Below are 10,823 nucleotides of genomic sequence, written 5' to 3'. Positions count from 1 at the left end.
GCACAGTTGTTTCTCACTTCAAAGACACTGCAATACCCTGTCTCAGGATAATGTCTCTTTATAAACTTGGACTTTTTTGTATTGTATTTTACCAAATTCTGCACATACTTCTCTACTTAATATTATAAATATATATTTTTCTGGCCTGAATTTTAAAGCTAGTTTTTTAAATTTTAAAAATAAAATCTTAAATGCTGCTTAAATGTTATTGGATGTGGAATGTTTTACCTTCATGAAGGGGCTGCAGGGTCTTTTTCCCAGTATATATTTCAGCATGTCATGGATGCTCAAGTCTCTGGGAAAACCTAGAGTCTTGCTTATAGAATGTGGTCCAAACTAGGCAATTACTTGATGTCTCTCTCTTCCTAAAAATGTATGAAACCAAGAAAAGGGAATTATTATTTTTTTAACCATAGGTGAGTCTCTAACGAATGTGCACAGTAGATTTGAAAGATTAACCTGTATGAAAGTTCAAAACCAACTAATGGTAACTGATTAGATACTATATAAACGGCAGGGAGAAAAACAAATGCTTAAGGGTAGATTTTATGTAATTTATGTAGCTTTGATTATTTGTATTTTAGCTTTCTTTAAATAACTCACCAAGAACTGTTGAAAACACCCTCTCTTTCTCATAGAGAAAATATATTTCTTAGTTTGTGGAAGGACTTGCTAGCTCTCTAACATATTGTAGGTGACATTTTGTGTGACAGCAAAAATATGTGAAAATTGTATTATGTAAATGATATTTTATAAATTAACTGCAATTAAAAATGATAGTCTCTCAGATGTTATTTTACTTTTATAGGATAACATCAGTGACTATCATATTAGCAACTAAAAATGCAGCCAGGCATGGTTAATCCCAGCACTTTGGGAGGCCAGGGTGGGCAGATTGCTTGAGGCCAGGAGTTCGAGATCAGCCTGGGCAACATGGTAAAATCCCATCTCTACTAAAAATGCAAAAATTAGCTGGGCATGGTGGCATATGCCTGTAATCCCAGCTATTCAGGAGGCTGAGGCACAAGAATCGCTTGAACCAAGGAGGCAGAGGTTGCAGTGAGCTGAGATTGTGCCACTGCACTCCATCCTAGGTGACAGAGCAAGACTCTGTCTCAAACAAAACAAAACAAAACACACAAAAGAATTAAAATGCAATACTTTGGGCTGAGCAATGAGTTTAATTTATTTGGCCTTTGTTTATCTTTGAATAAACAGAGGCTAATGATGAGGTTAATTTTTTGGGCCTTTGTTTGTCTTTGTCTTTGAAACACAAAGACAACTGAGGCATAGCCCATGTGCTCAAAGAGCTTTCAAATCAAGTACAGGAGAGAAGAGAAATAACCAGACAGAACATGATCAGCCACATTAGGAAAGGCATCAGGTTGTAAGCAAGTTCAGAGCCCTGACAGACCCTTTATGTTTGGGAGCATATACGAAGTCTTCTTGGAGATGGTGGCCTTGAAACTAGGTCACAAAATATGAGTAGGACTTGGGAGAACTCTTCCAAGATGGCCAAATAGGAACAGGTCCAGTCTGCAGCTCCCAGCAAGACTGACGCAGAAGATGGGTGATTTCTGCATTTCCAACTGAGGTACCTGGTTCATCTCAATGGGACTGGTTGGACAGTTGGTGTGGCCCATGGAGGGCAAGCCAAAGCAGGGTGGGGCATCACCTCACCTGGGAAGCACAAGGAGCTGGGGGATTTCCCTTTCCTAGCCAAGGGAAGCCATGAGAGACTGTACCAGGAAGAAGGATACACTCCTGCCTCAATACTGCATTTTTCCCACATTCTTTACAACCTGCAGACCAGGAGATTCTCTCCTGTGCCTGGCTCAGTGCGTCCCACACCCACAGAGCCGAGCAAGCTAAGATCCATTGGCTTGAAATTCTTGCTGCTAGTGCAGCAGTCTGAGATTGACCTGGGACACTGGAGCTTGGAGCGGGGAGGGGTGTCCACCATTGCTGAGGCTTGAGTAGGTGGTTTTATGCTCACAGTGTAAACAAAGCTGCTGGAAAGCTTGAAATGGGCAGAGCCCACCGCACCCCAGCAAGGCCAACTGCCTCTCTAGATTCCACATCTGTGGGCAGGGCATATCTGAAAAAAAGGCAGCAGCCCAAGTCAAGGACTTATAGAGAAACCCTCGTCTCCCTGGGACAGAGCACTTAGGGGAAGGGGCAGCTCTGGGCACAACTTCTCCAGACATAAACATCCCTGCCTGTCAGCTCTGAAGAGAGCAGTGGTTCTCCCAGCATGGGAGAAAGACACCTCATACAGGAGAGCTATGGGTGGCATCTGGCAGGTGCCCCTCTGGAACGAAGCTTCCAGAGGAATGATCAGGCAGCAATACTTGCTGTTGTGCAGACTCTGATGGTGATACCCAGGCAAACAGGGCCTGGAGTGGACCTCCAGCAAAGTCCAACAGACCTGCAGCTGAGGGGCCTGAGTGTTAGAAGGAAAACTAACGAACAGAAAGGAATAGCATCAACATCAACAAAAAGGACATCCACATCAAAACCCCATTGGTAGGTCACCAACATTAAAGAACAAAGGTAGATAAAACCACAAAGACAGGGAGAAACCAGAGTAGAAAGGCTGAAAATTCCAAAAACCAGAACGCCTCTTCTCCTCCAAAGGATCACAACTCCTCGCCAGCAAGGGAACAAAACTGGATGGAGAATGAGTTTGATGAGTTGACAGAAGTAGGCTTCAGAAGGTGAGTAATAACAAACTTCTCTGAGCTAAAGGAGCATGTTCTAACCCATTGCAAGGAAGCTAAAAACCTTGAAAAAAAGTTAGACAAATGGCTAACTAGAATAACAAGTGTAGAGAAGAACATAAATGACCTGATGGAGCTGAAAAACAGCACGAGAACTTTGTGAAGCATACACAGGCTTCAATAGCCAATTTGATCAAGCGGAAGAAAGAATATCAGTGATTGAAGATCAAATTAATGAAATAAAGCGACAAGAGTTGAGAAAAAAGTGTGAAAAGAAATGAACAAAGCCTCCAAGAAATATGGGACTATATGAAAAGACCAAATCTACGTCTGATTGGTGTACCAGAAAGTGACAGGGAGAATCGAACCAAGTTAGAAAACACTCTTCAGGATATTATCCAGGAGAACTTCCCCAACCTAGCAAGGCAGGCCAACATTCAAATTTGGGAAATAACAGAGAATACCACAAAGATATTCCTCAAGAATAGCAACCCCAAGACCCATAATCATCAGACTCACCAAGGTTGAAATGAAGGAAAAAATGTTAAAGGCAGCCAGAAAGGTCAGGTTACCCAAAAAGGGAAGCCCATCAGACTAACAGCTGATCTCTCTGCAGAAACCGTACAAGCCAGAAGAGAGTGGGGTCCAATATTCAACATTCTTAAAGAAAAGAATTTTCAACCTAGAATTTCATATCCAGCCAAACTCAGCTTCATAAGTGAAGGAGGAATAAAATCCTTTACAGACAAGCAAATGCTGAGAGATTTTGTCACCACCAGGCCTGCCTTACAAGAACTCCTGAAGGAAGACCTAAACGTGGAAAGGAGCAACCAGTATCAGCCACTGCAAAAGCATGCCAAATTGTAAAGACCATCAACACTATGAAGAAACTGCATCAACTAACAGGAAAAATAACCAGCTAGCATCATAATGACAGGATAAAATTCATACATAACGATATTAACCTTAAATGTAAATGGGCTAAATGCCCCGATTAAAAGACACAGACTGGCAAATTGGATAAAGAGTCAAGACCCATCAGTGTGCTGTATTCAGGAGACCCATCTCACATGCAAAGACACACACAGGCTCAAAATAAAGGGATGGAGGGAGATCTACCAAGCAAATGGAACGCAAAAAAAAAAAAAAAAGCAGGGGTTGCAATCCTAGTCTCTGATAAAATAGACTTATAACCGACAAAAATCAAAAGAGATGAAGAAGGGCATTACATAATGGTAAAGGGATCAATTTAACAAGAAGAGCTAACTATCCTAACTATATATGCATCCAATACAGCAGCACCCAGATTCATAAAGCAAGTTCTTAGAGACCTACAAAGAGACTTAGACTCCCATACAATAATAATTGGAGACTTTAACATCCCATTGTCAATAGTAGACAGATCAAGACAGAAACTTAACAAGGATATCTGGGACTTGAACTCAGCTCTGGACCAAGCAGACCTAATAGACATCTACAGAACTCTCCACCCCAAATCAACAGAATGTAAGTTCTTCTCAGCACCACATGGCACTTATTCTAAAATTGACCACGTAATTGGAAGTAAAGCACTCCTCAGCAAATGTAAAAGAACAGAAATCACAACAAACTGTCTCTCAGACCACAGTGCAATCAAATTAGAACTCAGGATTAAGAAACTCACTCAAAACTGCACAACTACATGGAAACCGAACGACCTGCTCCTGAATGACTACTGGGTAAATAACGAAATGAAGGCAAAAATAAAGATGTTCTTTGAAACCAATGAGAACAAAGACACAACATACCAGAATCTCTGGGACACATTTAAAACAGTGCGTAGAGGGAAATTTATGCACTAAATGCCCAAAAGAGAAAGCAGGGAAGATCTAAAATTGACACCCTACCATCACAATTAAAAGAACAAGAGAAGCAAGAGCAAACAAATTCAAAAGCCAGCAGAAGACAAGAAATAACTAAGATCAGAGCAGAACTGAAGGAGATAGAGACACGAAAAACCCTTCAAAAAAATCAATGAATCCAGGAGCTGGTTTTTTGAAAAGACCAACAAAATAGATAGACTGCTAGCAAGACTAACAAACAAGAAAAGAGAGAAGAATCAAATAGACGCAATAAAAAATGGTAAAGGGGATACCACCACCGATCCCACAGAAATACAAACTACCATCAGAGGATACTATGAACACCTGTATACAAATAAACAAGAAAATCTAGAAAAAAATGGATAAATTCCTAGACACATACACCCTCCCAAGACTAAGCCAGGAAGAAGTTGAGTCTCTGAATAGGTCAATAACTGGTTCTGAAATTGAGGCATTAATTAAGAGCCTACCAACCAAAAAAAGTCCCGGACCAGATGGATTCAGAGCTGAATTCTACCAGAGGCACAGAGAGGAGCTGGTACCATTCCTTCTGAAACTATTCCAATTAATAGAAAAAGAAGGAATCCTCCCTAACTCACTTTATGAGGCCAGCATCATCCTGATACCAAAGTCTGGTAGAGACACACACAAAAAAAGATAATTTTAGCCCAGTATCCCTGATGAACATCGATGCGAAAATCCTCAATAAAATACTGGCAAACCAAATCCAGCAGCACATCAAAAAGCTTATCCACCACAATCAAGTCAGCTTCATCCCTGGGATGCAAGGCTGGTTCAACATATGCAAATCAATAAATGTAATTCATCACATAAACAGAACCAACAACAAAAACCACATGACTATCTCAATAGATGCAGAAAAGGCCTTCAACAAAATTCAACAGCCCTTCATGCTAAAAACTCTCAATACACTAGGTACTGATGGAACATATCTTAAAATAATAAAAGCTATTTATGACAAACCCACAGCCAATATCATACTGAAGGGGCAAAAACTAGAAGCATTCCCTTTGAAAACCAGCATAAGACAGGGATGGCCTCTCTCACCACTCCTATTCAACATAATATTGGAAGTTCGGGCCAAGGCAATCAGACAAGAGAAAGAGATAAAGGGTATTCAATTAGGAAAAGAGGAAGTCAAATTGTCTCTCTTTGCAGATGACATGACTGTATATTTAGAAAACCCCATCATCGCAGCCCAAAATCTCCTTAAGCTAATAAGTAACTTCAGCAATGTCTCAGGATACAAAATCAATGTGCAAAAATCACAAGCATTCCTATACACCAATAACAGAGAGCCAAATCATGAGTGAACTCCCATTCACAATTGCTACAAAGAGAATAAAGTACCTAGGAATCCACCTTACAAGGGATGTGAAGGACCTCTTCAAGGAGAACTACAAACCACTGCTCAATGAAATAAAAGAGGACACAAACAAGTGGAAGAACATTCCATGCTCATGGATAGGAAGAATCAATATCATGAAAATGGCCATACTGCCCAAAGTAATTTATAAATTCAATGCCATCCCCATCAAGCTACCACTGTTTTTCTTCACAGAATTGGAAAAAACTACTTTAAATTTCATATGGAACCAAAAAAGAGCCCACACAGCCAAGACAATCCTAAGCAAAAAGAACAAAGCTGGAGGCATCACGCTACCTGACTTCAAACTATACTACAAGGCTACAGTAACCAAAACAGCATGATACTGGTACCAAAACAGATATATAGACCAATGGAACAGAACAGAGTCCTCAGAAATAACGCCACACATCTACAACCATATGATCTTTGACAAACCTGACAAAAACAAGCAATGGGGAAGGGATTCCCTATTTAATAAATGGTGCTGGGAAAACTGGCTAGCCATATGTAGAAAGCTGAAACTGGATCCCTTCCTTACACTTTATACAAAAATTAAGATGGTTTGAAGACTTAAATGTAAGACCTAAAACCAAAAAAACCCTAGAAGAAAACCTAGGTAATACCATTCAGGACATAGGCATGGGCAAGGACTTCATCACTAAAACGCCAAAAGCAATGGCAACAAAAGCCAAAACAGACAGATGGGATCTAATTAAACTGAAGAGCATCTGCACAGCAAAAGAAACTACCATTAGAGTGAACAGGCAACCTACAGAGTGGGAGAAGGTTTTTGCAATCTATCCATCTGACAAAGGGCTAATATCCAGAATCTACAAAGAAAGTAAACAAATTTACAAAAAAACAAAAAAACAAAAAAGAACAACCCCATAAAAAAGTGGGCAAAGGATATGAACAGACACTTCTCAAAAGAAGACATTTATGCAGCCAACAGACATATGAAAAAATGCTCATCATCACTGGTCATTAAAGAAATGCAAATCAAAACCACAATGAGATACCATCTCATGCCAGTTAGAATGGCGATCATTAAAAAGTCAGGAAACGACAGATGCTGGAGAGTATGTGGAGAAATAGGAATGTTTTTACACTGTTGGTGGGAGTGGAAATTATTTCAGCCATTGTGGAAGACAGTGTGGTGATTCCTCAAGGATCTAGAACTAGAAATACCATTTGACCCAGCAATCCCATTACTGGGTATATGACCAAAGGATTATAAATCATGCTACTATAAAGACACATGTACATGTATGTTTATTGTGGCACTATTCACAATAGCAAAGACTTGGAACCAACCCAAATTCCATCAATACTAGACTGGATAAAGAAAATGTAGCACATATGCACCATGGAATACTATGCAGCCATAATAAAGGATGAGTTCATGTCCTTTGCAGGGACATGGATGAAGCTGGAAACCATCAATCTCAGCAAACTATCACAAGGACAGAAAACCAAACACCTCATGTCCTCACTTATAAGTGGGAGTGGAACAATAAAAACACATGGACACAGGGAGGAGAACATCACACACCAGGGTCTGTTGGGGGTGGGGGCCAGGGGGAGGGATAGCATTAAGAGAAATACCTAATGTAAATTACAAGTTGATGGGTGCAACAAACCAACATGGCACATGTAAACCTATGTAACAAACCTGCACGTTGTGTACATTTACCCCAGAACTTAAAGTATAATAATAAAAAAATTCACATTAAAAAAAATATATATATATATGAGTAGGACTTTACCAGGAGTAGAAGGACAGAAAGAAATGGGAAGACATTTCAGGAAGAGGAACTCATGTAACCAAAGCTGTGAAAAAGGACGTTTATGGGGTAGTGTTGAGGCATAGGAAATACACGAGTTGGTGGGAGTAAGAGCTACATAGGGGAGAAATGGGAGAAACATCCAAACACCTAGGTTATTTCCCAATCATGAAGAAATACAACAACACAGTTAAGAAATTGAAACTTTGGTCTGAGGGGTATAATCGCTAGAGGTACCTATGCAGAGAAATGGCAGGATTTGCTATGTTTCAGGAAGGCTCCTCTGGCAGTGTGTGCAGGATCTCCCATGGATTTGGGATAAAATCCCAAATTCTTGACATGGTCTATAAGCCCCTGCAACTTTTCTCATCTCCTTTCTCTCCATAGCATTGTCTCTCTGCAGGCACACGTGGGTTCTCTCAGACTGGCGGGGCACTAGGATGCTTCCTGCTCTCCCATGTCCCACCCCCACAGCCAGTTAATATCTTTTTCTTCCTTTACAACTTAGCTAAATGTCACATCCTCAGGGAAACTGTCCCTTACCACCAAGCATGTTGCTCCTTTTTCTCTGAATCTTATCACTTATCCCAATGGTGGAATTGGTGATTACCGTGTCCCTCTGCCTACTACAGGTAAGAAAATTGAGGCTCAAAGAGGTGTCTCCCACCCCATTATAAGACAAAAGAATGAGGAGAACAAACTAAGATACAGAGAACTATTTGCTCCAGAATAAATAAATATTCACAGTTTTTAGTTGGTGTTATGCAATGATTTTTTATTTGTAGTCCTTGGATTAGACAACGTCAATATGTCCTCTTCCATAATAACTAACCATTGTAAAGAGATGTATAAATTATATTTATAAATTTCATTGTATAGAGATTTATGATTAAAAGGCAGAGTGTCCCAGACTGAAGGACGTTCTACCTGTTCAAAGGCATGAGGATTAGAGGGCTGAGATAGTGTGGTGCACTCATGCAACAAAAAGAAATTCTATACAGTGAGAGCATAGGCTACAAGGGGAGGAGTCAAGGTTACATGGGTCAGGAGCCCCATAAGTTATTCTGGCAGATGTCCTCATTGCCCAACCAGATCATCTTGGCACCACTGTTCCAGTCCATGCTGATCACATTCTAATACCCACATCTGTGGCTCTGTACCTGAGAGTTTTCTTTCAGTCCTAAGAGAAGCAGGCTCAGAGCTCTAGGGAGTTCAGGCAGCAGGAGCATCCCTTGACTAATGATGAATGGGAGCTGGAGGATAAACAAATACCTCCAGCTTCCCTACCTTGCAGGTGAAATCGGTCTTACTGTCTCTTACACTGTCTCCCAGAACTCCCTGCCAAACTGAATCTCAGTCACCCACAGGTCAACAGAAGTGATTCTGAGCCCTTTATTAGTTTCTTTCCCTTCCCCATCTTACATCGCCACTCCTCTGCCAGTTCTTCCTGAGATCACTTCCCAAAAGAACTACTCACACTTAATCCCTGCTCAGGTTCTCCTTCTCAGGGAACCCAACCGAAAATGCTATGTGAAAGGATGTGGGCTTTATTGTGAGGACAATGGGAAGCCACTGACAAGTGTTTAGGGTTTTGGCTACAAACAACAGAAAGTAACTCCACCTATATAAACCAGAAAGTCAAACAATTTTTTGGAAAAATGCAAGGAAACTCATAGACACAAAGGACACATTAATACTCCAAGCCTCAGGAAAGGCAGGAGCCAGGGAGTCCTGAGGATTTCAGCGAGAAATATTTTAGGGCACTGCCAACAGAATAACTGGGCTCCAACTGTGTGTCACTCTTCTCAGGGACTCTGGTTTCCAGGAGAGAATAATAACTCATTGACCGATTTCCTTGGGTCATCTGCCCAATATTTTATTGGAAGTGGTCAGGACAACTTAATGAAGAAGATCACTTACAATGCTGAGGGGAATCTTCCAAAACAAAAAGTGGAGCCGGATGTGGTGGCACACACCTATACTCTCAGATACTCAGGAGGCTGAGGCAGGAGGATTGCTTGAGCTCAAGAGTTAGAGGCTGCAATGTTCACATCACTGCACTCCAGCCTGGACAACAGAGAGAAACCCCATCTCTGAGAAAAAAAAAAGAAAAGAAAAAGTGGGATATTGCAAACTATATTAAGAGGGTCTGGATGCTGGGAACGCAGAAACAAGTGGTAGTAATAGGATCGATTACATTTTACAAATATTATGCCAACATTTGAAATATTATACTGAAATATTACCTTCGCTGGTCATACTTCTATTTGGAACCAAATTGTACAAAGACTACAGTTTGTGACAATTTCCATGACCCAGAGAAGGTATGCTTAGTTCATTAGCAGCTCTTGCGTGTATCTAGTTTTTAAATTGACATATAATTTCAATACAGTAACATGCATAAATTTTATGTGTACAGTTCTGTGAGTTTTAACAAATGTACATATATGTAATCACCACTCTAATTAAGATATAGAACACTCCCATCACTTTCAAAAATTTCCCTCATGCCCCTTTCTAATTCATAACAACTCCTCCTACACTGCCACTCTCATTTCTAACACTATAGCTTAGTTTTGCCTGGTCTATAACTTCATACAAATTGAACTATATAGAAAATACTCTTTTGTGGTTGGCATCATCCACTCAGCATATTTTTGAGATTAATCAATGTGGCTGTATCAATAATTGTTTTCTTTTACTTACCCTAAAGTTTCTCATTATAGTAATACGATAATTTGTTTATTCACCTATTGATATACACTTGGATTTTTTCAAGTTTTGAACTATTATGAATGAAACTGCTGTAAACATTCTTATACAAGCCTTTTTTATATACATATATTTTCATTTCTTATTGAGTAAATATTTAGAAGAAGAATTAGTATGTCATGCATTGACTAGTTATTGAGAATAAGCTCAGGACAATATTAGAAACAGAAAGACAAGGTAAGAAATTTATATAGTAATCCAGGTGAGGTCTTGAGCTAAGGTAGTTCTATTAATCAGCTCAGGCTGCCATAACAAAATACTATAGATTGGGTGGCTTAACAATCTATAGTATTTA

General features: G+C 40.0%; 1 long non-coding RNA gene across 1 annotated transcript in view; it reads right to left on the bottom strand.

Moving 5' to 3' along the window:
- Positions 1–243: 243 nt before the first annotated feature.
- Positions 244–10,823, bottom strand: part of LOC107986262 (uncharacterized) — a 59,101-nt gene continuing 48,521 nt past the window's right edge. Inside the window, exon 3 of the long non-coding RNA XR_001741598.1 lies at positions 244–365. This is a non-coding gene — a long non-coding RNA (uncharacterized LOC107986262). The remainder of the gene's footprint in view (positions 366–10,823) is intronic.

Source organism: Homo sapiens, chromosome 4, assembly GCF_000001405.40.
Source record: "Homo sapiens chromosome 4, GRCh38.p14 Primary Assembly".
NCBI classification, from domain to species: Eukaryota; Metazoa; Chordata; class Mammalia; order Primates; family Hominidae; genus Homo; species Homo sapiens.
The sequence above is the reverse complement of the archived record's forward strand: the minus strand, read 5'-3'. Positions and strand labels throughout refer to the sequence as shown.